This window comes from Homo sapiens, chromosome 1 (assembly GCF_000001405.40).
Source record: "Homo sapiens chromosome 1, GRCh38.p14 Primary Assembly".
Classification (NCBI taxonomy): domain Eukaryota; kingdom Metazoa; phylum Chordata; class Mammalia; order Primates; family Hominidae; genus Homo; species Homo sapiens.
Genome location: NC_000001.11, coordinates 179819512 through 179837839, shown reverse-complemented (window position 1 = coordinate 179837839; position 18328 = coordinate 179819512). Strand labels below are relative to the sequence as shown.

Here is an 18328-nt window from a genome sequence, read left to right as displayed (position 1 = left end):
ATGAGGTCAGGAGTTCAAGACCAGCCTGGCCAACATGGTGAAACCCCTGCCTCTACTGAAAATACAAAAAGCCAGCCGTGGTGGTGGGTGCCTGTAATCCCAGCTACTCTGGAGGCTGAGGCAGGAGAATTGCTTCAACCCAGGAGATGGAGGTTGCAGTGAGCCGAGATGGCGCCACTGAACCCCAGCCTGGGCAACAAAGCAAGACTCCGTCTCAGGAAAAAAAAAAAGACACTTTGTCTTTTTGACCTATATCTGACACTTTCTAGGATCACTAATTCTTAAGTATACAAATCAATGTTTAAGATAAACCATTAATTCAGTAACATCTTTTATTATCATACTGAGAGGTGACAGCGTGCTGGCAGCCCTCGCAGCCCTCGCTCGCTCTCGGCGCCTCGTCTGCCTGGGCTCCCACTTTGGTGGCACTTGAGGAGCCCTTCAGCCCACCACTGCACTGTGGGAGCCCCTTTCTGGGCTGGCGGAGGCCAGAGCTGGCTCCCTCAGCTTGCAGGGAGGTGTGGAGGGAGAGGCGCGAGCGGGAACTGGGGCTGTGCGCGACAGTTGCTGGCCAGCTGGAGTTCCGGGTGGGCGTGGGCTTGGCGGGCCCCGCACTCGGAGCAGCCGGGCGGCCCTGCCGGCCCCAGGCAATGAGGGGCTTAGCACCCGGGCCAGCGGCTGCGGACGGTGTACTGGGTCCCCCAGCAGTGCCGGCCCACTGGCGCTGCACTCGATTTCTTGCCAGGCCTTAGCTCCCTCCCCGTGGGGCAGGGCTTGGGACCTTCAGCCTGCCATGCCTGAGCCTCCCCCACTCCGTGGGCTCCTGTGCTGCCTGAGCCTCCCCCACTCCGTGGGCTCCTGTGCTGCCTGAGCCTCCCCAACGAGTGCTGCCCTCTGCTCCACGGCGCCCAGTCCCATCAACCACGCAAGGGCTGAGGAGTGCGGGCGCACGGCGTGGGACTGGCAGGCGGCTCCACCTGCGGCCCCGGTGGGGGCTCTACTGGGTGAAGCCAGTTGGGCTCCTGACTCTGGTGGGGGACTTGGAGAACCTTTATGTCAAGCTAGGGGATTGTAAATACACCAATCAGCACTCTGTATCTAGCTCAAGGTTTGTAAACACACCAATCGGCACCCTGTGTCTAGCTCAGGGTTTGTGAATGCACCAATCCACACTCTGTATCTAGCTACTCCAGTGGGGACGTGGAGAACCTTTTTGTCTAGCTCAGGGATTGTAAATGCACCAATCAGCCCCCTGTCAAAACAGACCGCTGGGCTCTCTGTAAAATGGACCAATCAGCAGGATGTAGGTGGGGCCAGATAAGAGAAAAGCAGGCTTCCCGAGCCACCAGTGGCAACCCGTTCGGGTCCCCTTCCACACTGTGGAAGCTTTGTTCTTTCGCTCTTTGCAATAAATCTTGCTGCTGCTCACTCTTTAGGTCCACACTGCCTTTATGAGCTGTAACACTCACTGCAAAGGTCTGCAGCTTCACTCCTGAAGCCAGCAAGACCATGAACCCACGGGGAGGAAGGAACAACTCCAGACGCGCTGCCTTAAGAGCTGTAACACTCACTGCGAAGGTCTGCAGCTTCACTCCTAAGCCAGCGAGACCACGAACCCACCAGAAGGAAGAAACTCCGAACACATGCGAACATCAGAAGGAACAAACTCCGGACGCGCTGCCTTTAAGAACTGTAACGCTCACCGCGAGGGTCCGCGTCTTCATTCTTGAAGTCGGTGAGACCGAGAACCCTCCAATTGCAGACACAATATTACATGAGATGCCGTTTGAAGCTTTCACCTGGAGTTGGCACATCTCTGAAACTCCAAACACATAACAATAATAGGTAAAATATTTCAAGGAAAATTTTAGAAGACAGAGCTAGGCTCAAAAACAAGATGCATCTTTGAGGATCAGAAACAGAATAAAAACTCCCAAGTGGTGAGCAGGGCTGAAGTCGCAGGCCTACTGGACCCTGCATTTGAAGTCAGACAGGCTGCTGGCGGCTTGGAGCTACGAGTTCTCCACGTGAGGCTCACCAGGTTATGTATACAAATTGCTTGTTAGAAGCCCTGCAATATTGGTATTGTTATCTGCAAATATTCAGTGATTAGTTTTCACACAGCCTTTAAAAAAACATCTTGTTTGAATGTCTTATATAAAGTATGCTACAAGTCAGTTTCATAATTTTTTTTTTAGAGATGAGCTCTATGTTGCTCAGGCTGGACTCAAATTCGTGGGCTCAAGTGATCCTCCTGCCTCAGCCTCCTGAATAGCTGGAACTACAGGAGCACAGCCCTGAGCCTAATTTTTTTTTTTTTTTTTTTTTTTTTTTTTGAGACAGAGTCTCGCTCTGTTGCCCAACTAGAGTGCAGTGGCACCATCTCAGCTCACTGCAACTTCCGCCTCCCAGGTTCAAGCGATTCTGCCACCTCAGCCTCCCGAGTAGCTGGGACTACAGACGCATGCCACCATGCCTGGCTAATTTTTTGTATTTTTAGTAGAGACGGGGTTTCACTGTGTTAGCCAGGATGATCTCGATCTCCTGACCTTGTGATCTGCCCGTCTCAGCCTCCCAAAGTACTGGGATTACAGGCCTGGGGCTCTGCATCTGGACAAAGTTGACATTTTTAATACATCTTTACAAAATGTGAAGAATTCCTAATAGGACTTTTTTTTTTTTTTTAAGACTCATAGCCTAAACAAAGTTAAATACAGTTTTTAAAGACTATTCTGTTAAAAGTACCCTAAATAATCATATGAAGATGATAATTATGTCTAATTTTTTGTCTGCTTTGTATTATTTACATTTTAATATGTGGTGTTTGTTTGAAAAATAATCTAATATTTTTCTAAATATATCTCAATGTTAATGACTGCCAATTTATTTCCTTATTTTCAGGTTCATAATAATTTTTGTACATAAACTTTCTTGATCATAAATTATTGCAGCATTTTATTCTTGCAGTAATAACTGTTTATTAAATTGAATGGTAGATTTTTAATGCACACAAGGTGATTTCCACTTCAAGTTACATTATAGACTGCATTTATATATTTGAAAGTGAATATTCAAATTTAACAAATCAATGACATGCTTCATTTGAATTGCTATAACTGTTCAAACATAGTTGATTGAGAATCCATCTTTTCCTCACTGATTTGAAATGCCACTTTGTCACATACTGGATTCTCATATGTATTTGTGCTTATTTTCTGAATGTTCTATGCTGATCCATTGACCTGGCTGATTAGGCATAAGTACCACACAGTTTTAATTATTGTGGCTTTAATATCTGGTGGTGGCTCATTTTTTTTTTCTGAATTTTTCTAGCATTATTACTTATTCTTTCAAATGAACTTTAAAATCACCTTGTCTAAAAAGTAAATATTTTTCATAGGATTGCATTAATTTTTCTAGTGATCTGGTGGGAAATTGGCATCTTCATGACATTAAGTCTGCATATCCAAGAAGCAAGCAAACTCTGTTCTGGGTAGCTTTGTTTTTATGATTTTACTATGGCTGGAAGCAGCTAGAAAGTGTTGTGTCTCAAATCTAAAAACCCACATCTGGTGAAGTTCTAAGTTTGTTTAAAATACCAATTCTTTTTCATAGTCAAATATGAAAGATGAGAATGGATTATCTCTGCTTCCCCTATTCCCTCCAGCACTGTGAGATTTCCTTCCATTTTCTGGAAACAAGGAATCTTTATTCATCTTTGGAACGACTCAATTCACTGAGGACCCTCGCGGAGATAAACAGTGCCTGAGTTGCTTCCTAACTGCCATGGTTTTCTGTGAAAGGAAACCCCTCTCTACTGGATTATCTTACAAATGATGTTGAATAATAGAAGATCTGTGAAAATATTTATTCCTAGAATGAGAATATAAACACCCTCATACCAAAGCCACTGGTGGTCCTTAGTTCTTCTCCAAGTATTCCTAATTCTGTAATCCTTTTGTCTCCCGACTTTTTTGCTTTCTGTAATCTTGGGTATGAGGCTACACATTCAATTTGCAAATATTTACCGAATACCCACATGTGCCAACAACTGAGTTGAACATCAGCTATCCTAATGACATACGGAGAAAAAAGCCCCTCGTATGGTTTGGGTGAATATTTCCTTCCACCCCAAGGTTTGTAACCTTTGAATAGGATCCTCCCTCTTTTATCTATGGGAAATAGGACTAAGAATATATAGTTTGGGAGGATGTCCTTTTTTGCTGACAATAGGGTATCCATAAGCAATATGCTGTTCAAAGTCTCCAAGTGGATCAACATTTTGAGACTTTGTAGCAGCATGCTTCGAAGAGGATACAGGAGGAGAAACCAGCCCTGCATTAGAAATAATTAATCCACTAGGCCCTATGGGTCATTATCTGCTACTCATTGCAGCAGATAATGATATTCCCAGCTGTGATTTGGGCTGGTTGTCCCCTGACAAATTTTCATGCACAGAACCCAGGTCAAAACCCAGGTAGAAAGAAAATGCAAACATGCCTCTCATCTGAGGGGGTGACCCTTTCAGGCCCAATGGGGATGCAGCAGCTGTTTTGCAGAAGGGTCTTGAAGAGATGAAGAGCTGTAGTCTGATGGGGAGTAAAAACTGGGTGAAGACCATGAGCAGGGTTTTTCTTTTTTCTTTCTTTCTTTTTTTAGACAGAGTCTAGCTCCGTCACCTGGGCTGGAGTGCAGTGGGACGAACACAGTTCACTGCAGCTTCGACCTCCCAGGCTCAAGCAATCCTCCCCCCTCAGTCTCTGGAATAGCTGGAACCACAGGCATGCACCACCGTGCCTGGCTAATTTTAAATTTTTTTTGGCCTGGCGTGGTGGCTCACGCCTGTAATCCCAGTACTTTGGGAGGCCAAGGCAGGTGGATTGCCTGAGGTCAAGAGTTCAAGACCAGCCTGGCCAACATACTGAAACCCCGTCTTTACTAAAAATACAAAAAATTAGCTAGGGGTGGTCGTGGGCGCCTGTAATGCAAGCTACTCAGGAGGCTGAAGCAGGATAATCACTTGAACTCAGGAGGCGGAGGTTGCAGTGACCCAAGATTGCACCATTGCACTCCAGCCTGGGCAACAAGAGCGAAACTGTCTCCAAAAAAAAAAAAAAAAATTTTTTTTTTTTTTGTAGAGATGCGGTTTCACTACTTTGCTCAGGCTGGAGTGGCTATTTTTCAGACAGCATTTAGTCCCCATCATTTTGCCTTACCTTACTTCCTGGTGGGCAGCATTGCATGTAAGTTTTTGTCACACAAAACACTAAATAAAGACTAGAGAGATGGCTTGTTCTGGTGCATAGACAACCTTTTGCAGAGGAAGGATGAGAACCTGTAGATTTACGTAGTTGTTTTGATTAACTCTCCATCCACCAGTCCCAGCTGGTAGCATCAATGAGCAGGAATTTTCACAGTCATCTGGAGAAAACACACCATATTAAAAAGCAAACCAATTTGTTTTATGGGGGAAGGGGTTCACAGATGCATTTGGGAAAAATTAGCAAATGGTCCCTTGCTTACCATCTTCACTCTTTTCTTTTTCATCCCGAACATCAAAGTCGTTCAGTGGTTTTGAGATCACATGTTCCACTTAATGTTTAAAGCAGGTGCCAATAGGAGGAGTAGAAACATCCCTGTGAGGAAAACCACAACTATGCCTTGTTATTTGAAATTTGCTCTAGTTTCACATTCTTAAAATGTTAAAAACTGGAGTGAGAACTGGCTTGTTTGCTGAGGTGATGCTGAAGCATGACGGTGGCCCAGTGAGCTGTGGCTATCTGGGAGGTGAAGGTAGTTTTGTTGAGTGGTGCCTGCTGGGTTTGATTCACTACGACGGCCACCTGCAGCTGCCCCGCCAAGGGGTGCCAGATTCCACCTTCTCCTCATCCTCAACACTGCCTTGGGCTGGCTGTGATCTGGCCTCATGGCTGCAACCACGACAGTGCTGTGACAGGGCTTTGGCTCTGTTAGCCATGTGGGGTACAGATCCAAGTGCCCCTGTGGCCAAAGCCTGCTACATTTATCCAGCTCCTGTAAACACACTTTCTTGTAGAATCACAAAGATGTAGGAAGTCCTGCATCTTCCATCTGCTTCTTTCCCATCCTGTAGCCACTCCTGGGTCTCCTGTTTTAGTCCCTGTGTGGTTCCAGTGTCTAAGAAATGAACGCATGGGAGTTATAACCCCTTTTTAAGTATCTTCTGCCTACGTATCTTGCGTAGCTCAGTCTTTTTCTTCCCTTTTACAACGAGGTAGCAGGTGCTTGAGTTTCTGAGAGGAATGAGAAGGGCAAATGCAAACCCCTTCCCTTGAGCCTTTGCAGCTGGTTGACTCAATAATAGTTGCTGAGTGCCCATGGGTCAGGCTCTTCCAGGGCTGGCTTTGCTCTGTAATGAACACCTTGCACTCCAGGATTGTTTGATTATCCTTCAAAACTGGACACACCCTTTCCTGTCAGATGGTTTCTGTGGTCATGCATTGAGGTGGAGGTGGATGTGATGACCTCTGACGGTCCTTCTAGCCCTAGAACTCTGTAATTCTAATGGTCAGGAGCATATCTTAGCATCTGTCTTCTTTCTCCTCTTATTGCTTTCATTTACCACATTATTTCTGTCTACCTTCTCAAGACTGTAGCCTTTCACCTAGCACATCCTCTGTATATCTGCATCCATCTCTGGTTGAATTTCAGTTTGTAACCACCAGACCAGTCTTATCTGGCCCTACTCTGTGGATAACAGAACGGCCAGTTATTTTGCAGACACAGAGCTAAGAAGTTGCAACTTACGCAGCCAGGGCATGCACAGAAAAGAAAACTTCGACCTCAAATGACACTGGGAACTAAAGTCTTTTCCCCAACCATGGAACTAAACGTTTGGGACTTATGTGGAACCTGAACACTGGAACATTTTCAAAAGTGGGGGGTCAGTTGTCTAGGAATTTCTGGTGATAAGACCCCTCCCCATGCCTTACCAAAAGTCGTCTCATTTGAAGTCCTTCCAATCAAATCCTGCCCTGCCAGCACTTTCACATACCAACCAGTCCTTCCTAACCCATAAAACTTGCCCCAAAACCCAGATATGGGAGGCAGATTTGAGTTTTGCCTGCTGTCCCCTTAGCAGTTGACCTCAGAACAAAGCCTTTCTTTTCTTTTCTTTTTTTTTTCTGAGATGGAGTCTCACTCTGTCGCCCACGCTGTAGTGCAGTGGTGTGCTTTCGGCTCACTGCAACCTCCACTTCCCGAGTTCAAGTGATTCTCCTGCCTTAGCCTCCTGAGTAGCTGGGATTACAGGCACCTGCCACCACGCCCAGCTAATTTTTTGTATTTTTAGTAGAGACGGAGTTTCACTATGTTGGCCAGTCTGGTCTTGAACTCCTGACCTCGTGATCCACCCACCTTGGCCTCCCAAAGTGCTGGGAATACAGGCATGAGCCACCGTGCCCGGCCAGCCTTTCTTTTCTCAAAGCCCAAAGCCATAGTATTGGCTTCTCTGTGTGTCGGGCAGTAAGCCCATTGCTTGGTAGCAAGTCTGTCTTCACTGTCTAAAAAATGCTTTGATCAATAGCTCCCTGCCCCTCCTCTAGTGATCTAGACCCATCCGTAGTAATTTCACTCTTTTCCCGAGGACAAAGTCTGGTGGGAAAGAAACACTGAGGCTAACATCAGCTTCCTAAAGTCATGATTCCACATTTGGCAGGCAGATGGACCCACCAGTCTCTGATTATGGCCAGTCTTTGAACACCTGACTCCACTTTCTACCTGCAGTCTCCACTGTAGCTTATTTTAGTCTCAAGCAAGTAAATACCTGGGAAGGTTTAGTAGCTCACCTGTGAAAATACATGTTAATTTTCCACCCTGGAATTTAATAAGCTCCTTGAGGGCAGGGGTGGCATTTTCATTTTTATTTCTCTAACACCTGACACAAACGTTTGGTGTCTAGTTTAGGTCCTCAATAAATGTTAGTTGAATAAACAGTTTTCTCTCTGTTAACTCTCCTCTCTAATGGCAGTTTTTTCAAAATCCAGGCACGGATTGGGCTTACTGCACACTTCAGCGTAGGAGCACGTCGGTTCACCATTAGAGTAACGGATCTCAGGGGTCAAAGTTGTGGACTCAATCGTAGAGGAAACCACTGGGCTCACCAAGAGAATGATCGTTTCCGGCCCCTTTCTACATAACTTCATGCAACACGGAGACTCCTGAAAGTTGTAGATGAGTTGGATTTCTGAAAATCAAGTTGTTTCGTCTTTATTGAAATGTCCTAGCTTCATTTGACTGGACTTGGGTCACTAATAGGTTTCTTACACTTTGGCTTTGAGTTTCTTTGCCTAGAGGCCTGTAAGTCAAGAAAGTCTAGGAAACAAAAGGGGGCATGAAATAGTAACATGGAATGACTGAAAGGGTCATTTTGCAGATGGGGAAACCAAGGGGCTAAGTGACTGCCTAAGGCCACAGGTTACAGTGTAGACCTGAGCCCAGAACCTAGATCCTGGGCCCAAGGCCACTGGTCTTTCCACTGTGGGGAAACCTTAGTGAGCCAGGGAAGTACAGTATTTACAAGAACCTACCATTGAACTATCTGGGGGTGTGGGAAATGGCTGTTTGCCTCCATATGAGGCTTTCTCAGCATTCTTGTTTTACAGAGTACACCACCTCATCTCCCCGCTTGGAGGTGCATATTGTCTACGGCACCCATAACTGCAGGACTGGCAGCCTGGGAAGGGCCATGCCGGGGGCTGATGGAAGCCCTCACTCTGGCGCTCCCTTGCACCTCCCACCCACATGATGCAGAGGTCCGTTGTGCTCTATCCCAGAATCCAAACTGCACCCCGTGTCCCCGCCAGTCCAAGTACTATCAGATATGTCAGCAGCAGGGAAATGCCACTTCCAGGTTTCCAGCTGGGCCTGAGGGGCTTTGTGGAGTCAGTAGCAGAGGAGGCAGGGTGAGCAGAGCCGCTGGGCAGGCACAGCCCAGAAGCAGGGCCTGATGTGCAGCTGGAAGTAGAGGGATTGGCCCTGGAGTCTCCACTGGCTGGGCTGGGAATGGTTCTAGACACTGGTCTCAGGCTGGACAGATGCGTGTTTGTTCCCCATGCTCCTGCGCAAGGGGCAGAGCTACAGTTGCTACTGATGTACCAAGAGGCTGACTGTCCTCAGTGTGTCCACTCCAGGAGAGAACCATGGCCTCATGTGCTTGCAGCCCTGCCTGGCCACTCAGGGTGCTTTACGTTGCTGCAGTGCTCTTGGTTTCATGCCACTGCCTTTGGGAGACAGCAGTGTCTGTGGATACCTCTCTGGACCTGGATACCCAGGTCAGTCAGCAGCTCCTGAAAAACCTGCACCTGAAAAAGTCCCAGCCCTGACCTCCAGACTGCTGCCAGTGGCTCTAGAATCCTACCTTTCACAGCTGGACATGGAAGCAAGAAGGGTGGTGGCACCATATTGGGTAAGTTGGCTTTGGGGAGTTTCAGTCTGGAAGAATCTATAAATGACCAGCTAGTTTTGTTAGGTTGGTCCCGATTGCTGTGTAATTCCCAAAAGGGAAGAAGCTCAGAGAAGCAGGGAGAAAGAAACTGAAAACTCAGATGCTACCAAAGGAGTGTGGCTTTGGTTGTTCAATACTTCGTGCTCCAGATCATGAAGCTGATGAGGAAAGCCCTGGCAGGTCTCCGAGTGCTCTGAGGTACAGGTCCGAGCAGACGCCCCAGCTCCAAGTCCTCAAATTACCCCGTTTGTTGCAAATGGACTGTGGAATCATTTTCCCCAGGAGTTCAAACTACAATCTTACTAAACCTCTGCCATCATCATGTGCTTGGGTGTAAATGAAGCCCCAGTATTTAATCCTCTTAAAGCTTGTAACCTAACAGGATGTGGAGGAATTGAACTCTGGGACACTGTTGGTGGGATCGCAAAATGTTGCAGCTGCTGTGGCAAACGGGATGGGGATGGTGGTTCCTCAAAAAATTACAAATAGTATTACCACATGATCCAGCAACTCTACTTCTAGGGACAGAAGTAGAATTCCCAAAAGAATGGAAAGCATGGTCTCAACAACAATGTATTTCTTTTCTTTTTTTTTTTTTTTGAGATGGGATTTCCCTCTTGTCTCCCCGGCTGGAGTGCAATGGCGCAATCTCCTCTCACTGCAATTTCCGCCTCCTGGGTTCAAGCGAGTCTCCTGCCTCAGCCTCACAAGTAGCTGGGATTACAGGTGCCCACCACCACGCCCGGCTAATTTTTGTATTGTTGGTAGAGACTGGGTTTCACCATGTTGGCCAGGCTGGTCTCGAACTCCTGACTTCAGGTGATCTGCCCACCTCAGGCTCCCAAAGTGCTGAGATTACAGGCATGAGCCACTGCGCCTGGCTCTCAATGATGTATTTCTACACCCATGTTCATAGCAGTGTTATTCACAGTAACTAAAATGTGGAGGCAACCCATTTATCCATCCACAGATGAATGGATAAGTAAAGTATAGCATACATACAATGACATATTATTCAGCCTTAAAAGGAGGGAAATTCCGACCTGCCACATGAGATGAGCCTTGAGAACGTTATGCTGAGTGAAATAAGCCATTCACAAAAAGACAAATACCGTATGATTCCACTTATGTGAGGCACTTAGAGTGGGCAAAATCATAAAGGCAGAAAGTTAGAATGGTGGTTGCCTGGGGCTGGGGGTTGAGGGAATGGGGAGCTTTTGTTTTATGGGTATAGAGTTTCAGTTTTGCAAGATGAAGAGTCACGGCAGTGGATGGTGGTGACGGTCACACATTATGAATGTGCTTGATACCACTGAACTGCTGCCCACTTAATGGTGAAGGTGATAAGCTTTATATGTGTATTTTACCACAGTGAAAGACATTGAAAAGAAAAAAAAAAACCCTCCAGCCTATGAAAGACAGGAGTGCATCTGGTTCCTTCAGCTGGCTTTGGCTGGCTGTAAAGCGTGTGCAAGGCCTGTGTTGGGTGCTGGGGCCAGTGCAGTGGGGAATCCAGCCTCAAGGAACAACCTGTCCGCAAGGGAAAATATAGGGCATGCCAGATACCAGCAATCCAGCAACACGCGGGGAGGTGGAGAGAGGATGTTTTGCTTATCCAGAAAAGGGAGTGATTGCTTCCAGGGGCCTCAGGGGAATAAATCATAGAATCCTGGACAAGGTTTGAAGGACAGGTAGGATTTGGGTGGGTGGAGGAGGGTGCATGGGGTCAGAATTGTAACCGAAAACTCATTCCAGGTGGATAGAGAAAATTTCTAGTGTTGTTGTTTTTAAACTATTTGGGGGACTGGCACAGACCCTTTTTGAATACCTGATGGGCTCACATTTCTGTCGAATCCCAGCGGGTTCCTAGACCTCAGGATCATTTAAATGGATCCGTTTGGGTGGGGTTCAGGGCCAAGGTCTGGCGATGCCAGGAGTGTATGCCTGGTTTGTTCCCTCACCCCTACTCCTGTGGTCAGTGCTCCGCTTGCTGGGACATCCTGGGACCACGAGGAGATGGCCCAGTGCAGCAAGGCCTGGAGAGAAGGCTGTGGGGTCTACCCCAGTGAACAGCTTCTGCCTGGGGACCTGTGAGTGGTCTGCCCCGAGGCTTCTGCCATCCATCTCCTCAGCTGGCACAGCCCAGGACCTCAGTGTGCTCACAGCCTGGGAGGAAGGAGGCCAGGCCAGGCCGCATAAGGCTGAGCCGCCCACCCCACCACTGTTTCCTTTGCCCTGCGCCTTCCCCCTCCCAGGTGTCTCACTGCCTTCTCTCCACTTTGGTCTCCTCTAGCCCTGCTTCGCTCACGTCTCTCCACTGTCTAGATCCCCTTTCTTTTCATCTTAAAATCTGCTGCCTGCGTGAACCGCCCCAACGTGTCCCCCAGGACAGGCTGTGAAGCTGCATTCCAATCCCTTTATATTTGGAGTTCCTTGAAGTCAGTGTTTGCTTAGGAGATTTCAACTTGGGGAAAGAGAAGGGATGACCCCTCATCATCCTGCCTACCTACAGATTTACTGAGCCCCATCCTCCCGACAAGATGAACCTACTTCCAGGCCTTGCTGACATACAAAAATTGAACATATCTGTTAAAAATAATTCAAACATGAATGGTTCCAGAGTTTCTGCTTGGAGTGATGAAAAATCTTTGGAGGCCGGGCTCGGTGGCTCATGCCTGTAATCCCAGGACTTTAGGAGGCAGTGAGCCGAGATCACACTACTGCACTCCAGCCTGGGCGACAGAGTGAGACTCCATCTCAAAAAAATAAAAAACAAAAACAAAAAAAATTCATACAATATGAACGAACCTGTGCCAGCTGCCACTGTTTTTCACTCTAGCCTTCTGCCCTTGACCTTGTGGGGAGAAAATTGCTCAGCAGTTGGAGCATAGCAGGCCCTTTGCCTGTTGAAAGCCCCCAGAGAGGCTCAAAGGGAGCCAAGTCCCTGTTCCAGAGCAGGAAGGCATGGCATGTCCTGTCCTAAGACACGCAGGATGTGCTGAAGGCCGCTCTCCACTAACAAGGCATCCTTCAGGGCTCAATGATCACAGCAGATACCTCCGTCGTCTTGCCCCTGCGGGAGAATACGCAGAATGCACTCAATTCTCAGGTGGGGTTTTGTATAATTGTACTCGGAAAAATTTCTTTTTGAAATGCAGACTGACAAAAACCAAAATAACAAGGAGGCATGAATTGAAAAGCCTCATTTCTGCCTCTGTGTCTTCTATTCCTTGCTCCCTCCCAATAGGAAACTATTTTTATTAGTTTTTGTGTGTGTGTCCTCCCAGTTTTTCTTTACTTCCATTTTATATTATAACTTGCATCTTTTGTAAAATTCTCAATTCTTAATTTTTCTCTTTTAGGTTCCTCCTATTCATTCTCACCAGCTCATGACTCCTCCTCTGATGGGGACATGAGGGGCCAGGCAGGGTGGGAGGGAGGCAGAGTTAAGAGAAGGGCGGGGGAGCTGGTGGGAACCCGAGTATCCAGGGGCCTGGGGTTTGGAGTCTTCTAATCATTCTGGAGCCCTTTAGTTTGGGGAAAGAGTTCAGAGGACTTGAATTTCAAAATGTCTCATTAGACCCAGAACAAACATCCTGTTGGGGGAGTGAGTGGTTCTTTGCTAGTTTTAGGAATAAGGATCTAATTCCCAATGGATGGAAAAACTCTGGGTCAAGGCAAAGCCCAGGAGGGCGGTCCCTGCAGGGATGGGTGAGAGTGGATGCAGACCTGGCTTGTACCCAAGGCCTGCACCTGAGTCCCAGACACGCTCAGGTGCCTGTGGCCAGGGCCGGGGGAGCCACGTCGTCTTCTGTCTACACCTGGATGGGAAGGCAACCTCACATGCCTAGTGCAATCTGGCCACCCAGCCTCTGGCCATCCACCCCTGTGGAGACCGGAACTGTCCTCTCCCCTGAGAGTTCAGGGTTGCCTCATCTATCAGCTGTGGCTGGGTTCCCTCTGTTGGTGTGGGGAGAGGGGGGAGTTGTTGACAGGATAGAGAGGAAGTGGGAGGCCAAGCAGTTCCCTGGAGGCCTAGGAGAGGCTCCCTGCAGGGACTAGCCACCCTTGGCAAATGATATCCTGGGAGCGAGGCACCTGGGATTGTGGAGGGGGATTTTCTGCAGGGGTGGCTTCTGCCTTGCTTAGGGCACGGCCCTGGCTGGATGTCCATTTCCTAAGCTTCAGGAAGAGTTCAGGGCTGCCCAACAAATGAGTTTAGAAGCAGAAATGTTATCCTTATGAATAATCCCAGGTGTCTTTATGCTGAATGTATTGGAACATGTTTGTTGGACAATAATTTCACATATTTGGAGAAGGTTGAGCTTTTTATAGCCTGAATGGAGCTGCTTTAGAAGATCTTGCCTTTCAGGGACTAGGAACATGAAGATGACCTCCTGGCTGGGCATGGTGGCTTTGGGAGGCCGAGGAGGGAGGATCACTCGAGGGTAGGAGTTTGAGACCAGCCTGGGCAACATAGTGAGAATATGTCTCTACAAAAAATTAGCTGAGCATGGTGGCACGCATCTGTAATCCCAGCTACTAGGGAGGCTGAGGTGAGAGGATTGCTTGAGTCCAGGAGTTCAAGGTTACACTGAGCTATGATCACACCACTGCACGCCAGTCTGGAGGACAGAGTGAGACCCTGTCTCAATAAAATAAATAAAAATAAATTTTAAAAAGATGGCCTCCATCCTTCCTCTCATCTTCCTCCCATCCCTCTCTCCAGGGCTCTGCCTGCCTGAGAATTCCTGCTTTGGGCCAGGCACGGTGTGGTTCATGCCTGTAATCCCAGCACTTTGGGAGGCCAAGGCAGGTGGAACACCTGAGGTCAGGAGTTTGAGGGGAGGGGCTGAGTGCAGGTGTGGGCATCGGTGCAGTGGCGAGAAGGGGAGAGCCCAGAGGGAACCTTCCTTCCTGATGCCTAAGTAGCCCCTGTGGGGGGCCCTGCTGCCTCCAGATTTGGTTCTGTCTGTACATCCTACTGTAACAGCCAGAGAAATCTAACATCGCTGACTCCATCTTGCTTCTAACCTCATAAGCCAACTGCCTTTGCTCATCCCTACATGCAGGCCAAGCTAATCACAAAAAGCCTGACCAACATGGTGAAACTCCAACTCTACTAAAATACAAAATTAGCTAGGTGTGGTGGGGGAGGTGCCTGTAATCCCAGCTACTTGGAAGGCTGAGGCAGGAGAATCGCTCTAACCTGGGAGGCGGAGGCTGCAGTGAGCCGAGATCACGCCATTGCACTCCAGCCTGGGTGACAGAGTGACATTCCATCTCAATAAATAAATAAATAAATAAATAAATAAATAACCAACAAAAAAAGATTCCTGCCTGGGAAGAGTTAGAGATACCCCTCCCTGGGGTCTGAGCCATGGCCTCCTTAGCTGACTGTTTGGTGGCTAACAGCATACGCTGCTTACCTGGAGAAGGCCTGTCCCTTTGGTTGGGCCCCTGTGCTTGAGGGAAGAGTTCAGAAGATTTTGTGAGGGTGTCAGGCCTCTGTTCAAGCTCAAGTTGTTCAGTTGGATCTAGAATAAAAACTCTCATGACTAAAGTATTAAGGAGCATACTTACAGCTTTTATTTCTTCTAGCAGAAATAGTACTTCTAAAAAGTACGCTTCACTCCCCCTAAGAAAAGGGTCAAGGGGAAAAGGCAAAGGTGCTGAGAGCTGCTTTGAAGAAGCCCTGCTCCACTGGCACCCATGGAAGGGCCCAGAAGAGATGAAGGCAGGTGCATGCAGGTGGTTGGGGGAGCTTGGTGGCGCTTGGTGGCTGTTCAAATCTTGCCGGTCATCCTCCTCCAAGGCTGTCAGTAGAGGTTTGATACTGTTTTATAGAACTGGCAGAATTCAGTCCCCAGAGTTTTATTTCCCTTATTTCAGTTGCCTAGAACCAGGAAAGCTACCTCAGCTCATGTTGAAGTGGAGATAAGTCTGTTCATATGACATTCCCCCAAACAACTTAGAATTACATAGAAGACTTGCCTAAATCACACAGTAAGTAGTGTGACAAAACCAGCACAGATGGTTCCCAGCTTACAATGGTTTCACTTACAAGTTTTTGACTTTATGATGGTGCAAAAACAGTACATGTTCAGTAGAAACCACATTTGGAGCACCCATACAACCATTCTGTTTCTCACTTTCAGTACGTTTTCAATAAATTACATGAGATAGTCATGAGTTTGTCATAAAATAGGCTTTGTGTTAGATGATTTTCCCAACTGTAGGCTAACGTCAGTGTTCTAAGCATGTTTAAGGTAGGCTAAGCTGTGATGTTTGGTAGGTTAGCTATATCAGTTTTTGACTTATGATATTTTCAGCTTAGGATGGGCTTATTGGGACGTAGCCCCATTGTAAGTAAAGCAGCATCTGTGTCTGTCAAATGAAGAGGGGTGCAGCAGGGCTGCAGAGTCAGCTGAACCATTTGTAAGCTGAATAGAGAAAGATAACCTTAATTTTATTTCTTGAAAGTTTATATCCATGGGATGTAAGCGACTATCTGATGGTTAGGGGAATGGAGCCCCCTGTGACCCACAGGTTTGGGTGTGCAGCTGTGCCATCGTCCCTCTTGCTTCTCCGTGGAGCCCGGCAGGACACGAGGGAGGAGGATTCAGAGCAGAAGGAAGGCAGGTCCCTTAGAGCCGGTACTGGCAGGAGCGACAGGCGTGTGGCAGGTCCAGTCCTCCAGGTGGTTCTCCTTTGGTTTCCTAACTGTGAAGATGCAGATGGTGTTCTGCCTGAGCCCGTTTCCTTCCCTCCCTCCTGCACATCTGGGCTTCCTCTCTCCTGCCCTTCCTTCCCCTCTCACCTGCTCAGTGATATCTGGAGTCCCTGCCCACTTCTGGTAGTAGGAAAGCCAGAATGTGTGGCAGGTTCTGGGAGAAGCCCAGTGGAGCCAGGGATGGATGGGCCGAAGAATTTGGGCTCAAGAGGAAGAGCTGGGGGTCTTCTGACTCCTTTCGGAACCAGCTTTCAAACCCAAGACTTGAACTCGAAAGCTAGTGAAACAAGAAGCGCAGCCAGGTGTGGTGGCTCACACCTGTAAACCCAGCACTTTGGGAGGCCAAGGCGGGTGGATCACCTGAGGTCAGGAGTTTGGGACCAGCCTGGCCAGTATGGTGAAACCCTGTTTCTACTAAAAATACAAAAATTAGCCAGGCATGGTGGCAGGTGCCTGTAATCCGAGCTACTCGGGAGGCTGAGGCAGGAGAATCACTTGAACTCCAGAGGCGGAGGTTGCAGTGAGCTGGGATTGCGCCAGTGCACCCCCAGCCTGGGTGACAGAGTGAGTCTCTGTCTCCAAGCAGAGATCTGTGCTCTTAGTTGAAATATGAATGCTCTCCTTCATTCGTTCAGTTTATTGGGGCACATATGAGGCCAAAATGCAGTCATAGGTTGCTGGGAGCATGGGTCCCTCAGTGAGTCACAGGCAGAGTTACTGGCAGAGGTGGGAGGTTCCACACAGAGAGAGAGGTGGACCTGGCAGTAGTGGCACAGGCTGGCCCCAGCTGGCCCCTCTCTCCACCTCCCAACGGCCATCCGTCCTTCATCGCCCGGCAGCTCACTGGGTGGAGAACCAAGTAGTACGAGGGAGGAGGGACTGAGTGCAGGTGTGGACATTGGTGCAGTGGGGAGAATGGGAGAGCCCAGAGGGAACCTTCCTTCCTGTTGCCTAAGTAGCCCCTGTGGGGGGCCCTGCTGCCTCCAGATTCGGTTCTGTCTGTATATCCTACTGTAACAGCCAGAGAAATCTAACATCGCTGACTCCATCTTGCTTCTAACCTCATAAGCCAACTGCCTTTGCTCATCCCTAGACACAGGCCAAGCTAACCACGAAAAGCATTTTGATTACAGTTTAACGCTAGTACTAATGACCACCTCTCTTTTGAAACAGACTCCTGAGGAGATGAGGAAGTGTGCACTCAAGTAACAGTGCTGTCTGAAAGACTTAGAGCAACAAGGTGGATCTGACAAGCAGTTGACCATGAACAAAGAAGTTTTGCAACCTCCTTGGACCCCTGATGACAGCCAGATGTCTGTGGCCTCCAGTCACCTCCAGACCTTCACCCCCTGCATGGTCCCTCTTCCTCTAATATGAAAGAAGCCTAAAAAAATCTATCAATCTAAGTTGGTTCTGGCTGGGCACGGTGGCTCATGCCCGTAATCCCATCACTTTGGGAGGCTTAGGCAGGAGGATCACGAGGTCAGGAGTTCGAGACCAGCCTGGCCAAGAGACCAGCCTGTGGTGAAACCCCATCTCTACTAAAAATACAAAAATTAGCTGGGAGTGGTGGCGGGCACCTGTAATCCCAGCTACTCGGGAGGCCTAGGCAGGAGAATTGCTTGAACCCAGGAGGTGGAGGTTGCAGTGAGCTGAAGATTGTGCCATTGCACTTCAGCCTGGACAACAGAGTGAGACTCCGACTCACAAAAAAAAAAAAAAATGTTCTTTAGGACATTGGTCCTCCATCTTCTCAGTTGGAAGCTCCCAGAAATAAAGTCATCTTCCTTACCCCAACACCTTCTCTCAACTTATTGGCTGTCATGTTGTGAGTGGTAGAGTTTGGACTTGGCTATACTGCTAATGATAGTGGCTACCACATGTGCCATTATCATTAATGTGAGGTGTCACATTGGGACCATAATGCCCACTGTATCCATTAAAATTAAGTGAGGTGTCAGCTCACTTAATTTTTTTTTGAGATGGTGTCTCACTATGTAGCCCAAGCTGGAGTGCAGTAGTGCAGTCTTGGCTCACTGCAACCTCCGCCTCCGGGACTCAAGTGATTCTTGGTGCCTCAGCCTCCCAAGTAGCTGGGACTACAGATGCCT

The 18328-nt window shown here is 48.1% G+C and overlaps 2 long non-coding RNA genes across 3 annotated transcripts; one reads left to right on the top strand and one right to left on the bottom strand.

The window, feature by feature from the left end:
- The first annotated feature begins 1251 nt into the window (after positions 1–1251).
- Positions 1252–18014, top strand: LINC02818 (long intergenic non-protein coding RNA 2818). Of its 2 annotated transcripts, XR_001738312.3 has the most exons (3): positions 1252–2041; positions 8025–9445; positions 17391–18014. It is a non-coding gene; the product is annotated as a long intergenic non-protein coding RNA 2818 (long non-coding RNA). The 2 variants fall into 2 exon arrangements; XR_007066758.1 differs by lacking the exons at positions 1252–2041; positions 8025–9445 and adding an exon at positions 12239–12593.
- On the bottom strand, positions 15051–16581 carry LOC124904463 (uncharacterized). Its single transcript, XR_007066759.1, has 2 exons — positions 16305–16581; positions 15051–16207 (listed from the first exon to the last, which is right to left on the bottom strand). It is a non-coding gene; the product is annotated as an uncharacterized LOC124904463 (long non-coding RNA).